We start from the raw sequence: 15,802 nt of genomic DNA on the forward strand, positions 1-15,802 counted from the left end.
CCTCAACAGCTTCCTAGACCTGGCTTACGGATTCCATCACTGTCTCCCTCCTCTTTCTCTCCATTCGTCCCATGGCTCTCTTGGATACAAGGACATTCTCTATTTCTCAAAATCAGCATGCTTCTCCCTCCCTTGGGATGTTAACTCCTTTGGCTTAGAATAGCTTCCATCTATGTGGCAAACCCCGACTTGACTTTTGGGTCGCAGCTAAGCAGTCTTTTCCCTTGCCTCATGCCATGGCCCCTTCTCTACCCTGCCACTTCCCTTTCCAGATACTCCACCCGTGGTCCTGACACTCCGTATCACACCACCTTTCATGCCGGGTTTTCAATCCAGTTTAGGTGTCTATATTCCCCATCAGACTGCAAGCTCTGTCCTCACAGAGGACATAGGCCCCAGGTCTCTCATGTGGTTGTTGTATCCATAGTGCCTGTGCTGTGCCTGGCATGGTAGAGGCTACCACGTGTGCCTCCCCTGCCAGTAGACTCACGGCCCAAAAGCCAGGCCCTCCCTCCGGGAAGCAGGGCCACTCAGTAGCCCTTTCTTTGCACGTACCCGTAGAGGCTGTTTAGAAGGGTAACTGACAGAGATGGCTCGTTTCACAGAGTGAATAACAACTGGACACTGAAAAATCTCTTTTTTAATGTAGCGTTCTGGTTATGAAAAGCCTCTTTCCAACAAGTTTGAGAGAAACAGTCACTGAGCAATTCTGCTGCCTCTCGCTCTATGAACCTATTCCAAACCCTAGGGGAGCTCCGAGAGATACAACCATGGCCACTGATTGATGCTGCCCTTAAACCATTAATGTGGTGACCGAAGAAGGAACACATAAGGATGCCCTTTCTACCTCTACGCGGAGTTACATATTCCAGTCAGACTCCACGGCCCCAGCTGCAGGCATGTAACAGACACCAGTCCTTGGCTTGTCCAGACCTCCCCATACCACACCTCAAGGCATCTAGGCCATGCTTTTCCTTCACGCTGAAATCACATTTTCACCTATTATTTCCTATTTACCACCCATTATTAATTATATTTGTTGCATTTTCCCAATTATACAAATATAAAGATGCTTTATATGAAAATAAGCATCCATTGGCACAAGTCAGCCAGAGCAATGTATTCTGAACTAGGCTATCCTTGTGAAAGAAGAAATTTGTAAATGTAATTGCCAGCTCTTATCTACTTTAGGAATTCAAACTTGGCTCCACCACCTCTCACTGTAAGCCCTTAGTAATCATTATAGAGATAATGTAAGCCCTTAGCAATTGTTCCATTACCCACTAGGCAATGAGTAAGATCTCCCATGTCAGTTATTCATTTAATTTGAAATCTTTACACCTATGAAGATGTCCTTTTCAAAAAGAGTGAGATTTGTTTGTTTTTTTGTGTTTTGGTTTGGTTTTTTTTTTTTTTTTTTTTGCATAATTTATGTCCTCCCCTCTCCCTTGGTGTCTTGGAAGAGAAGGCTTTGCTACCAGTTAGCTGACTATGGAATAAATGATTCTTCCTTTACTTAGAGCCTTCTTAGTCATGGCCTTGTCAAAGAAGAAAGCAGCATAACACCGCTAACAATTATAATAAATAGTTTAGCTTGGTGAGAGAGAATGTGGCTTTGAATCTCGATCTCTCGATGTCTCTTACATACACATTCATGGTACTACCAGCTCTGGGTACTTTATTACAGACATAGAAGCAAGTAGCCTTATTTCATTGTCACCTGAGCAACAGGAAGAGAGGGTGAACATTTGTTCAGTGCCTGTTATGTGGTAGATGTCTTGGTTCTTGTGTTATTTCATTCACTTCCCCAAACTTCCTACAAGATGGGTATTATTACTGCCTTACAGTTGAAGAAACCGAAAGCCAAAAACTGAAGTAAAGCACCAAGATGGCTGAAAGAAAGGGCAACCTAGCACCAGAGGCCACACTCTTTCTGTTGTCCGCAGTGGTCTCATTTCCATGGCAGGCTTCTATTTTGGCCTCAGAACATTTCCTGAGGAGAAACTTTGCCTGAGTGGAAAGATATAAGACAGAATAAAATATGAAGTGAGTGGGCTATCCAAGTAAATGGTGGACATAGCCAAATGTGCAGCTTCCATTCTTCCATATGAGGTTTAAAGTAGGTTTGTGTCTCCCTCTAAGTCCCCTCTAGTGTGATCCTGAGGGAAATTACCAGGACCACAGCGAGATGCAAAAGCACCCACTAATTATATGAACTATGACTCTCTCAAAATAATGTGTGAATAAAAAATAATAAAGGGGACATCACCACTGATCCCACAAAAATACAAACTACCATCAGAGAATACTATAAACACCTCTATACAAATAAACTAGAAAATCTAGAAGAAATGGATACATTCCTGGACACATATACCTTCTCAAGACTATATTGAATCCCTGAATAGACCAATAACTAGTTCTGAAATTGAGGCAGTAATTAATAGCCTACCAACCAAAAAAAGCCCAGGACTAGACGGATTCACAGCCGAATTCTACGGGAGGTACAAAGAGGAGCTAGTACCATTCCTTCTGAAACTATTTCAAACAATAGAAAAAGAGGGAATCCTCTGTAACTCATTTTTATGAGGCCAGCATCATCCTGATACCAAAACCTGGCAGAGACACAACAAAAAAAGAAAACTTCAGGCAAATATCCCTGAGGAACATCGATGTGAAAATCCTCAATAAAATACTAGCAAACCGAATCCAGCAGTACATCAAAAAGCTTATCCACCACGATCAAGTTGGCTTCATCCCTGGGATGCAAGGCTGGTTCGACATACACAAATCAATAAACATAATCCATCACATAAACAGAACCAAAGACAAAAACCACATGATTATCCCAATAGATGCAGAAAAGGCCTTCGATAAAATTCAACATCCCTTCATGTTAAAAACTCTCAATAAACTAGGTATTGATGGAACATATCTCAAAATAATAAGAACTATTTATGACAAACCCACAGCCAATATCATACTGAATGGGCAAAAGCTGGAAGGATTCCCTTTGAAAACTGGCACAAGACAAGGATGCCCTCTCTCACCACTCCTATTCTACATAGTACTGGAAGTTCTGGCAAGAGAAAGATATAAAGGGTATTCAAATAGGAAGTGAGGAAGTCAAATTGTCACTGTTTGCAGATGACATGATTCTATATTTAGAAAACCCCATCATCTCAGCCAAAATCTCCTTAAGCTGATAAGCAACTTCAGCAAAGTCTCAGGATATAAAATAAATGTGCAAAAATCACAAGCATTGCCATACACCAACAATAGGCAAGCAAAGAGCCAAATCATGAATGAACTCCCATTTACAACTGCTACAAAGAGAATAAAATACCTAGGAATACATCTTACAAGGGATGTGAAGGACATCTTCAAGGAGAACTACAAACCACTGCTCAAGAAAATAAGAGAGGACACAAACAAACGGAAAAACATTCCATGCTCATGGATAGGAAGAACCAATATTGTGAAAATGGCCATACTCCCCAAAATAATTTATAGATTCAGTGTTATTCCCATTAAGCTACCATTGACTGTCTTTGCAGAATTAGAAAAAACTAATTTAAATTTCATATGGAACCAAAAAAGAGCCCGTATAGCCAAGACAATACTAAGAAAAAAGAAAAAAGTTGGAGGCATTATGCTGCCTGAATTCAAACTATACTACAAGGCTACAGTAACCAAAACAGCATGGTACTGGTACCAAAACAGATATATAGACCAATGGAACAGAACAGAAACCTCAGAAATAACACTGCACATCTACAACCATCTTTTGACCAACCTGACAAAAACAAGCAATGGGGAAAGGATTCCCTATTTAGTAAATGGTGCTAGGAAAACTGGCTAGGCATATGCAGAAAACTGAAACTGGACCCCTTCCTTACACCTTATACAAAAATCAACTCAAGATGGATTAAAGACTTAAACGTAAAACCTAAAACCATAAAAACCCTAGAAGAAAACCTAGGCAATACCTTGCAGGACATAGGCATGGGCAAAGATTTCATGAGTAAAACACCTAAAGCAATGGCAACAAAAGCCAAAATTGACAAATGAGATTTAATCACGCTAAAGAGCTTCTGCACATCAATAGAAACTATTATCAGACTGAACAGGTGACCTACAGAATGGGAGAAAATTTTTGCAATCTACCCATCTGACAAAGGTCTAATATCCAGAATCTACAAGGAACTTAAACAAATTTACAAGAAAAAAAACCAAAAACCCCATCAAAAAGTGGGCAAAGACCCTTCTCAAAAGACATTTATGCAGCCAGCAAACATGAAAAAAAGCTCATCATCACTGCTCATTAGAGAAATGCAAATAAAAACCACGATGAGATACCATCTCACGCCAGTCAGAATGGCAATTATTAAAAAGTCAGGAAACAATAAATGCTGGTGAGGCTGTGGAGAAATAGGAATGCTTTTACACTGTTGGTGGGAATGTAATTTAGTTCAACCATTGTGGAAGACAGTGTGGTGATTCCTCAAGAATCTAGAACCAGAAATACCATTTGACTCAGCAATCCCATTACTGGGTATATACCCAAAGGATTATAAATCATTCTACCATAAAGATGCATGCACACGTATATTTATTGCAACACTATTTACGACAGCAAAGACTTGGAACCAACCCAAATGCCCATCATTGATAGGCTGGGTAAAGAAAATGTGGCACATAAACACCATCGAATACTACACAGCTATAAAAAAGGATGAGTTCATGTCCTTTGCAGGGACATGGATGAAGCTGGAAGCCATCATTCTCAGCAAACTAATACAGGAACAGAAAAGCAAACACTACATGTTCTCACTCATAAGTGGGAGGTGAACAATAAAAACACATGGACACAGGGAGGGGCACAACACAAACCGGGGCCTATTTGGAGGTCAGGGACAAGGGGAGGGAGAGCATTAGGACAAACACCTAATGCATGTGGGGCTTAAAACCTAGATGATGGGTTGATAGGTGCAGCAAACCACCATGGCACATGTATACCTACATAACAAACCAGCACATTCTGCACATGTATCCCAGAACTTAAAGTAAAATAAAAAATAAAAATAATAATAATTTGTGAACAGTCTCTGCTGCTTGTAGCAGTATGTCATTTGTGGTTATTGTGTCACTGACTGTTTTTTGTTTTTTGTTTTTTTTATTTGAGACAGGTATTGCTCTGTCATCCAGGCTGGAGTGCAGTGGTGCAATCTTGTCTCACTGCAGCCTCTGCCTCCTGGGCTCAAACAATCTTCTCACCTCAGCCTCCCAAGTAGCTGGTACTACAGGCACGCATCACCACACCCGGCTAATTTTGTATTTTTAGTAGAGATGGGGTTTCACCATGTTGGCTGGGCTGGTCTCTAACTCCTCACCTCAAGTGATCTGCCCACCTCCACCTCCCAAAGTACTGGGATTACAGCTGGGAGCCACTGCACCCAGCCATGTCAATGATACTTAATGCCCTTTTGACCTAAAGAATGACATCTCCCCAGTGTGTACATGTAGTATTTTCTGTACCACCAGATTTCTGTTCCTCACACTACCCACCTTGCCCCTCTTGGAGCAGGGAAGCCATGGCTCCCAGAGCCTGGCTAGAGAAGAGCCACGTCAGCTTCTAGCATGGCCCCTGGAGACACAGAAAGCAGCTATTCAGCAATGGGATCCTCAGAGGCCTTCCTTCTGTCGTGCAGAGAAGAGCATCTGAGTGACACACTGACCCCCACCCACCCCAGGGGTAGGTTCCCATCCAGGTCTAATGGTCGTACACAGAAGCAAACGCCTCCAAGCCAAGGCCTGCTCAGCTCATGTTGAGGCCAACTAACATTTTGTTTTGGGATCTGCTACACACACATGATGTTTTAATACAAAACAAGGTTGACTGCCTTCAAGATGTAACCCTGCACCTCACAGAAACGATGAATTCCAGAACGTGCCAGGGAAGATGCAAACAAATCTGGAGCGCCGGAGGGTGGTGCAGCTGTCCCTAACATTCCTATATGATGGTTTTCTGATCTCTGAAATGCAGCCCAGCCTAAAAACGAGCAGCTGCTATCAGCCACAAGTGTTCTCTCCTCATAATGGCAGCGTCCGGAGCACTCAGCAGTGAGTCAAGGAAGTTCTGGCTGCCACCAGCTATCTAGGAACCTTAAGAAATCATTCTGTGGGGCTGTTTCTTCTTCCATTAAATAAGGATCCTCTGATGCCCCCTTGGAAGTTTTCCATGACTCCTGCCCAGCACAGCTCCTCCACTTTCTTCACAAGGCTTGGTACCAATGTAGAATAAGTGTCAGTGAGCCCACAACTCCACCTCCTCGGAGGTCCCAGCATGCTGCCCTGTGACCTCCAGGTGCTGTCTGGCTGCCCTGTCTGGGGGTGTCTCCCTCCTATGACACTGCCTGGCACTTTTAGACACTCAAGTATTTGTTGAATGAGATGAATATCGTCCTCTATCGATTACTAAGGACAGACTTTCTGTTTGCATTGGCCCACTGGTCCTGGGAATGTGGCAAGGGCTCACCAGCAGATCAGTATATAAACATACATGCTCTCAAGGGTCCCACCATCCAGGGAACTGGTTTGAATACCTGATTACTTTCTACCTTGCATTATGCTCCAGTCACCTCTGTAAACTAAGCTTATTTACCATTCTACCAACACATATGCGTACCATGTGGAAGAAATCCATGTATGTCCCGAAAGTTGTGTGCATGTGTCCTGAGGGCTGGCACACTATGCACACTATTTATCAGGGGTCAGGTTGCTATCTTATTTATTGTTATCCTCTGCAGCACTGTCTATACTGCTAGGCAGGAGGCACATTTTTACTAAGTGTGTATACTGACATAAAATTACAACATATGTTTAATAGGAAAAGGGCAATTTTTGCATCAAGAGGTACTATTAATATCATCTTTGTTACTTACTGTTCTACACAATTACCATAACATAAATAGTCCTTGATCTCTCTAAGAATGAATAGAAGTTAGCAATAAATTCATTAGAAATAAGCTTCTTTCCCTCATAGGAAATTGCTATCCTTAGTAAGAGCTAAAAAATTATTATTGTCAATTCTTTCTAGTAGAGTAAGGATTCTATATGCTTTACATATGACACCTAAACATTTACAATGCAAAACTACATTTACTCCTAGTATCCTTACCACAGCTGCTTTGTTTGAAATATTTTTTTGGGGAAAGATTGACATTCAGAGGACTTATGATTCATTAAAGTTGTTAACTGATTCAAACACTCAACTATCAACCTGTTCTTTCAGAGAATGTTCCTTTCACCCACCTTGGGACCATTATTCCAGCACATATGTGTACCATGTGGAAGAAATCCATGTGTGTCCTGAGAGCGGCGTGGATGTGTCCTGAGAGCTGGCATACTACACACATGGTTTAAGCAGAACTTTGATCTACAGTCAAAGGTTCTTATGTGTGTGACCCTTAGAAACAAATGCTCTTTTTTCCACAAGGTGATCAGAACTAGGCTCTGAGTATAGAGCCAGCGCATTGTGTAGTTCTTTGTTCCCTTGAAGAAAATTCCACAACTGTTGATTCACTAATTTACTCTAATGAAAAAGCTGTAGGCAGTCTCAAGTCTGAGTAAGTGTGAATGTTAGAAAGGTCCCTCTAGACTTAAAATGCATTTTTCAATGCTCTGTTTGGAATAGGAATATAAATAGAGTATTCAAGATGCTTCTGTCAGGCCCCCTTTAAGATCAAACATTTTTGATATTTCAAAATAAAGCTTTTAGAATTAAAATGATTCTAATGATTCTAAAGAAGTGGTATTCTTCTTCCAGCCAAGGTGGAGTGAGATGAACTGAAACTACCCTTCCATTTGAAACAACCAAAAGTTCTCAAAATAAAGACCATGAAAAAATGATTTCCAAGACACAGGCTATCAGTGAAGGATAGTAATGCTAGAAGGAAACATAGAGAAAAGCTCCATGACACTGGCTTACACTAGGGCTTCTCAGATACAGCCCTGAAAGCACGACCCATACAGAAAACAATCATCAACTGGACTTCGTTAAAATTACAAACTCCTGCTCTTCAAAAGACATTGCTAAGAGAATGAAAAGATCAGCCACGCTGGGAGAAAATACTTACAGTCATATATCTGGATTTGTATCCAGAAAATATAAAGAACCCTCAAAACTCAGCAGTCAGAAAACAAATTATCCAATTATGAAAAATGAGCCAAAGAGTTGAACAGGCACTTCACCAAAGAAGATATAAAGATAAATGAGCATATGAAAAGATGTTCACCATCATCAATCTTTTCGTAAGTGAAAACCACAGTAAGATACCACTATGCAGCTATTAGAATGGCTGAAAGTAAACCGACTAACCACGCCAAGAGTTGGCAAGGGTATGGAGCAATCTGAACCTCATATGCTTCTTGTGGGAACAGTAAATTGTTCAACCATTTTGGAAAACCATTTGGCAGTTTCTTAAAATATGAAAATATACCTGCCATATTACCCAGGTATTCTACTACAAGGCATTCATCCAAGAAAGGAGAAAGTATATGTCTGTACAAAGACTTGTACATAAAGGTTCAGCATGGCTTTATTTGTAATAGCCTCCAAGCTGGTAACAACCCAAACAACCATCAATAGGTGACTGCACAAATTAATTGGGGGAAAATCCATACAATGGGAAACTACTTTGCAATAAGAAAAACACGACAAATTATTTATATATGAAATGGAATGAGTGAATCTCAACGTTACTATGCTAAGTGAAGGAAGCCAGACCAAAAAAGACTACATACTGCATTGTTGTATTTATATGTAACACCAGAAAATGCAAACTAATCTCGATTCACAGAGCGATATAGAAAGTAATTGAGGAGAAGGAGTGTAGGTGGAAAGATTGAAGGAAGGCTGGAGAAAACTTCTGGGGTGATAGATATATTCGCTATCTTGATTGTGGTGATAATTTCACAGGTGTGCATAGAAGTCAAAACTTATAAAATTGTGGACTTTAAATTTGTTCAGTTTATTCTATATCAGTTATACCTCAATTAAGAAACCCCCACAGACACTAATTTACTTTGGGAAACTTTGCATAAAATCAGCATTTATGATACAGCCGTTCAAAAAACTATTCATTGAGTTCCTATCTATGCCAAGCACTGTGCTGGTGGGGGAAAAAAAAAAACTAGCAAAGGAGGTTTTGACCCATGGACCACTAGGTGAGGCCTTAGTGTTTCCATTGTGCTATGCTGCTTAAGAAAAGTCAATTCCAAAGGGCTTTTGAAAAACCAAGTTTAACTTCTGTTGTAAGCCTCATTACATGGAAATTGTTTCAGAATGTTTCATCTATAATCACATGAATTTTGATATTGCACTTGTGCCTAACTGTACAAATAAGAGAACTTACGAAAGAACCACAAAACCTCCATTCTATTCTCTACTCAGAGGGCCTTTCAATGAAATTAACAGACGAAAGTAAATCTGCTATGTGTTCTCATGTAGATGATCTGTGGTTTCAACATAAAAGGAGTGGGAAGACTTTGCTCCAGTTCCCTGCATTTCCTTTTGTGTGAGTCATGAAGAGCATAATTTGCTGTGTTCCCCAAAGCCTTGCTTGCCATCATCTCTTATTTCTAAGATTTTCCACTAAGTCACACTCTTTAAGCCACTGACAATTAGCAAAACTATTTATCACTGAGTTCGCCTTGTGGGAATTTGACTTCTGTCATATGAAAAGTTCAGATAAAGCAGAGGTAAATGATATGCACAGGGTCTCAGTGTAAAACACTGGAAAGTGACATTCTTTTATCAATCAACCTTATGCCATTAGTTACCACAGAGAGATAACATTCCGCTGGCATAATGGAATTTCTAAAAGATGGACCATTATTTCCATAATAATACCATTATAATACTGGTCATCAATGATGCCTGTCAACATTTTCCTTAATAGAAAAATATTTTTAAAAGAGTTTCCTACTCAGATCTTACAGGATGAACTTGGGCAATAAATTCTCCAAAAGAAAGTATGGAAACTTCACAAATATGAAGAACTAAATTAGCATGACTGCGTACAACATCGTTTGAGCCGGAATTGGAGAAGCTGCTTGCAAAATAAAACAAGAAGCATATTTTAAATGACATACAAAGCAAGTTATCCAAATCAATATTTTGTAGAAACTGCTAAAACCACCTCGGCTATATCTATAATTGATTAAATTAGAAACAAGCTTAGAATCTCCTTTCTGTATTGACACAAGACAAGAAAGGTGACTCCTATGAAGAATAATGAATATAAGACTCAAAAGTTGGCAAAGATTGAGATGATCCAGGCTGGCCCTGAACCACTAATAATGTTTTTGAAAGATTGGGTTATTAGATTAACAGTTGTAGAAGATGGACACTATTTATGCAATGTTAAAGCAAACATTTTTATTAACCAAACATTTCCTAAATTGCAAGCAAAAATGTGAAACTCAATCTGACACCTGTAGCAAATCTGAGGGCCTTCCCTGGTCCAGGGCATACTCTCTGCTGCAAATGAGGTTTGTTCCAAAGGTTATTTGAAAAAAAAAAAATTCCTTAATCAGTTTTTAACTCTTGCTGCTTTCTATCAGATGATTTACTCTGATTCTTCCCAAAGCCCTGTGTATGGCAGATGCACCTGACAGCAATAACTCAAGCATACCCTGAGAATAACCCTATGGTTTAAGAAGAATATGTGTTCGGAGTTCTAAGCTAAGGAATCTGAGAGTGGCCAACCTGGAGATTCACTCCTAATCTATAGAGGACATCCGAATCCCTGGCCCATTCTTTGGAATGCAGGTCGTCCAGGGGATCGAGGCCCTTTGTCATGGGTTACATGGAGGTTGCTAGGCGAAAATGCTATATAACCTGAATGCTTTTTATAAATGGGAGTGGTTTTCTGGCACTACTCTTGGCCCATCCTGTATGTAAGTACCCAATAAACCCTATGTCTCATTCCCTGGCTCTGGGTCTCTTCTTCAGCCCCTTGGACATGGCGATATCCTTAATGGAGTCAACAGAGGTCTAGCATGACACCCTGAAAACTCTCAGTCTCTGTTTCCTTTGGTCAGCAGTGTGTATGTGGTTGCTGATCCTTCACTTAGGAACCAAGGAGGGGCTCTACTCACGTCATGCATGGAGTCCAGCAGCTTGGTCAGTTGGTAGAACCTCTGCCAGCTCTGCCCAGAATTGTTGGGACACTTAGTTACCATCTTCCTCAGTTCTTTGATGTAATTTGTCCTCATTTCTTCAAATGCAGCCTGGCTTTTGAGGCCATCCTTTGGAACTGTGTTAAGGAAAACAGACATGTAAATTTCCAGGATGGAAAACAACTTTAGCATCTTGGCAGGTAAAGTCATATACTGATTTTGAGGTTAGATACTAAATCTCAATTAATTGCATTTATGAATAAATATGGCAGCTGTCTACTGGCAAATACTTGTACACATACATACACAAAGAACAACTATTTATCAGATGTGTCTTATCATACACTTTGCACAGACTAGTTCACTTAACCCTGACACCAATATTATGACATAACTGTTATATCATTCTCATTTTACAGATGAGGAAACTGAACACTGGAGGCTGAATCACTTGCCCATGGACACAATAAAAAAAGGCAGAGAAGGGGTGGTATTCAACTTAGGTCTGTCTGTTTCCAAAGCCTGCCTCTTAACCACAATGCCACATTGCCTTGTGGCTGGTCATCCAAGTGTTTATGAATCCTAACTTGCCAATACTTCAAGATAGTAAAATATATTTTGATTTTCCAGGATAACTGAAGAGCCATAGACAATCTAGGTTGGGGCTAGAATTAGAAATCAACATCCTCATTCTCAAGTTCAGATATTAAAGACATTCGGGGGAACTGGCCATCTACGAAGGGGAGGACGCTGCATACAAAGAAGCACTTTCTATCCACTTTGCACCAGGATCTCATGACCACTAAGGCACGTGACCTTCCAGCACAAGCCCATAAAGCGTCTGTACATCAAAATATATTTTCCTATCTCTGAGGTATTGGCAAGTTAGGATTCACGTACACTGGTTTATGCGTGTGAGGGGGGAACAACAACAGTGGCTCTGCACGCAAGGCAAAATTTAAAACTTTCAAAGAGAATGAACCATGTTCATCTGTATCTTTGATAAGGTAGAAAACTAAGGACAATATTTTCTTCTTTCCTTTTATGTGGTGGCTAGCTTTCGTATGTTTTAAAAAAATTCACTTAAAAGGAATACTTTGAAATTCAGGACTTGTAAGCTTATCAAGTGCTTCTGTGACCCGCTGAGAAGCAGGTCCCAGGACATTTGTGAACGTACTTTATTAAGAAATGAAGTCCAGGTTTAGGACAGAGTTTAAGCATTTTTGTTCCACTTATAGCCAATAGTTATGTTTATGCCTTAACACTGAATAAGAAAATCAACTAGAATTTTATTTCTAGGTGATAAAGACCTAATGAAAATTCACCTTGGGATATTAACATTCTGATTTTGAAACTGCTCTTACTTTCACTTCTTAATTACCTATTTATTTGCTAATTTCCCATAACTGGTGTAAATAATTATTTACTTTGGTCATCAGCACTTGGAGACTTGGAGATGGTGCTGAGTATTGTGTGCAACCCTGGAAGCCAGGCATACTGCTGTTTCCACATAAACCCTGTTACCCTACAAAAAGATATGGATTATCTTGCAAATTAACTTCTACTATTATGTTAATAATCTTCTTGAGTTTAATTGTTGAGACTTTTGATTTGTCATTTATTTGAGTCTATTTTTGTGAGGGGAAAAATAAATCCCTAATAGCAACTGCACAAATTCCTGAGGCTGCCACAGTATTAGTTGTGGTTTAAAATATTTGACATTCATATTAAATGTTAAATGCTATCCATTATATAACAAATAGTATTTTTTTCTCCTGAAAACTTTATTTTAAAAGTAAAAAAACAAAAAGAACAGTAATAACCAGGATGTTAATAGTAAAATCCAATTTCTACCAAAATTTTAATGTTAACTTAAAACCTTCTAAAAGATAGGAAAAGTTTTCAAATATCTTACACTTCCCACCCACAGATTAGCATTTAAGTTATAAAACTGTACAAAGTAAATGTTTAGTTTTTCAGTATAGATACTTATATGGACATCACCCTATACATGAAAAGTTAACTAGTGGTAGAATAAATAAGTTTCACTATCATATTTCAATACCATTTGGTACATCTAAGATTAACCAAATTTATATTTCTGATAGTTGTAGATCAAAAATTCTAAAAATTACAACAACTTGTCAAACAGTATTACTTATATATTATTGCTGTAACTGAAATATATTGTACCAGTTTCCCAGCCAGATTTTTTAGAAGTTGAAACAAACCCACAAATAAAGAGAACTTAAGCAAAACCTCAAATTTTGGAGTTCTGCCCAGAGTTTCTGAATTTACTTATTAAATGCAGCAGAGCTGCTGGAAATCATCCAAAATCTGGAGAAGAGCAAAGAGACAACTGGGGTAGAAGTCTGTCTGCTTTCCTCAAGAACATGAGAGCCTCTGATGTCAGTCCCGAAAAACTTTGATACACTGGATATCAGGTGTGCATCTGACATTCCTGAGATGAAAAATTTTCATGTGTTCTATCATAGATTAGCAAAACAAGCTTACTAACGCCTGCAGTTTTTATGGTTCATAAAATGCTTTACCTATGTTTTTTCCTACCTTTTTATTTTGCTTCTTCTGCATTGAAAAAAAATCAGAATTCAAAGTACCAAGCTACTTGGGGGCTAATAAATTAATTCAAGTAGCTTCAAAATGGTATCAGAATCTATTACGAGCTGAGTGAATATGTAAAGAGATGTAAAAGGATAAGACATGAATTTAGATTGAGTAGTCAACATTCATGAAGAATTAGTATCACAAGCACTTTAAAAAATGTTTCATTTACATTCTATCATCCATTTGTCATAATTTTAAACATATTTTTCTAACCAGTAATGGTTAATAATCTAGCTTGGCAGAGGAGTAAAATCATTTTCAGTGAATTTAAAGATTATAGTTCCAAAGTTATACTCCAGAAAGAATAAATCAGGAACAACAGAAACCTTGGTGAAGAGTGGAGCAGGAGGACAACCCTGCAGGTGAGGGGTTGTAAACACAAGAGCAGCGGGAGATGGGGCTGGGTGTAATTAGTGAGGAATGGTGGGGCCTGTGGCAAACTAGAGAGAACATGCCCTGCCCCGGGCAATTGAATTCAATGAAAATAAAACAAAAGGCCAAAAGCAACCCCAAAAACCTGTGCTGGCCAAATAAAACACAGCTGTGAACTGCTGGCCCCACCTCCCTACCAGGACTGCCGGTTTGCCCCCTCTGCTATGGAGTCTGCGATTTTGCCTTTTGGACACTCTGCCCTCGCTGCTGCCATTGTGTGCCACCTGCCATTGCCTGCCTTTCAGCCTCTTGGTGACTGCTCTTAGGGGAGCAGGAATGACACTGGAGGTAAAGTTCCAAGCCATCGGTTTTAGTCCTAGCTCATAGAGGATACTCAACATATCACACTTACGTGCCTCCGTTTTGTCAACTTTAGAATAGGGCTATCAATCTCCCAGGGTAATTTTAAGCATTAAATTAGATAATATATGGAAAAACACTTTGCAAATTGCAAGGTGCCAAACACAGGTAAAGCAGGATGTTACCCATGTCACCACTGTGTCCCCTCTTCCTGCTTTGATCACTACCTGATTCCAGCTTACTTTCCGTAGACCCAGTCCTCTCTGCTGGAAACAACAGCTCTTCATACGCATTCGGAAATCCTGAGCCCCTTGGCTAGTCTTGGCCCTTTTCTCCAAATGACTTTACTGATCACTGCCCCTTCTCCCACACCTCTGTTTCAGGGGCCCATGGCAAGGGCTGGGCACAGACTGGATACTCCAGGTTGTCACTAGGCACTCTCTCCTCTGAAGTCCATACCACCTGCCATGGCATCCTTGCAGGCTCTTAACATCTGGAACATTTCTCAGTTTCCTCAGTGGCCATTTCATACGGCTCAGAGTTTTCCTCTCCACATTGTCTCCTGTCATCTTTCTGGGTCTCGCCCTCATCTGATGGGAGCTTCCTCAAATTCTTTCCCCTCTGTTGGAAAATGCCTGTGCTGTTGTCAAGAGTTAAACTGCCAGACATCCTTGCCAAAGCTAATCCTGTCCTCTGTTGTCTCCTCTGGCACTTTATGCCACTAACTTCTCTCCTCCCATACTTGGTTCCAGAAGCCCAAAACAGCTTCTCATCAATTTGCAAGTCCCTGGCATGCTGGCACCTGCACGATGCCTAATGGTCAACTCCAGTGGCCTTCTGTCGGGGTTATCAACTTTCTCTGTGGAGGCCATGCTGTTAGTCACATGCCTTTTGAAAACTCTCACCTCGTGGCTTCCAATACCGTACACTCTCCCAGTTTCTCCACCTCTCTGACAGTTGTCTCTGTCCCTGCAGCTTCTGCCACCCTCCTGTAACACAGCTCCACTGGCTCTCTCTGGATGATGGTAACCCCACTCACCATTGGAATTATACTACAATTTTCTATAAGGATAATTTCAAATTTATATCTCCATGCTCATACCTGTCTTCACAGTCCCAGTCCCCAGTTCTCCCCATCTTTTGGCTGTTTCTATCAAGACTCAGAGTTGGTATCAAAAAATTAACCTATCCAAAACAGCACTCATTTTACACGCCACACAATCTGCTCCAAGTCCTGATGTTAACATATTCCTATTAATGG

The 15,802-nt window shown here is 40.1% G+C and overlaps 1 protein-coding gene across 8 annotated transcripts in view; it reads right to left on the bottom strand.

Annotated features, from left to right (window-relative positions):
* NR3C2 (nuclear receptor subfamily 3 group C member 2) overlaps window positions 1-15,802 on the bottom strand; it is a 366,559-nt gene that overhangs the window by 24,177 nt on the left and 326,580 nt on the right. For all 8 annotated transcript variants that reach the window (NR_148974.2, NM_001437655.1, NM_001437654.1 and 5 more), the window contains one exon: window positions 11,164-11,321. Coding sequence is in view for 7 of the 8 variants with exons in the window: in NM_001437655.1 (NP_001424584.1) it covers window positions 11,164-11,321 (158 nt within the window). In the remaining variant the exon portion in view is untranslated. The remainder of the gene's footprint in view (window positions 1-11,163; window positions 11,322-15,802) is intronic.

The sequence above is a fragment of the Homo sapiens genome, chromosome 4, assembly GCF_000001405.40.
Source record: "Homo sapiens chromosome 4, GRCh38.p14 Primary Assembly".
Taxonomy (NCBI): domain Eukaryota; kingdom Metazoa; phylum Chordata; class Mammalia; order Primates; family Hominidae; genus Homo; species Homo sapiens.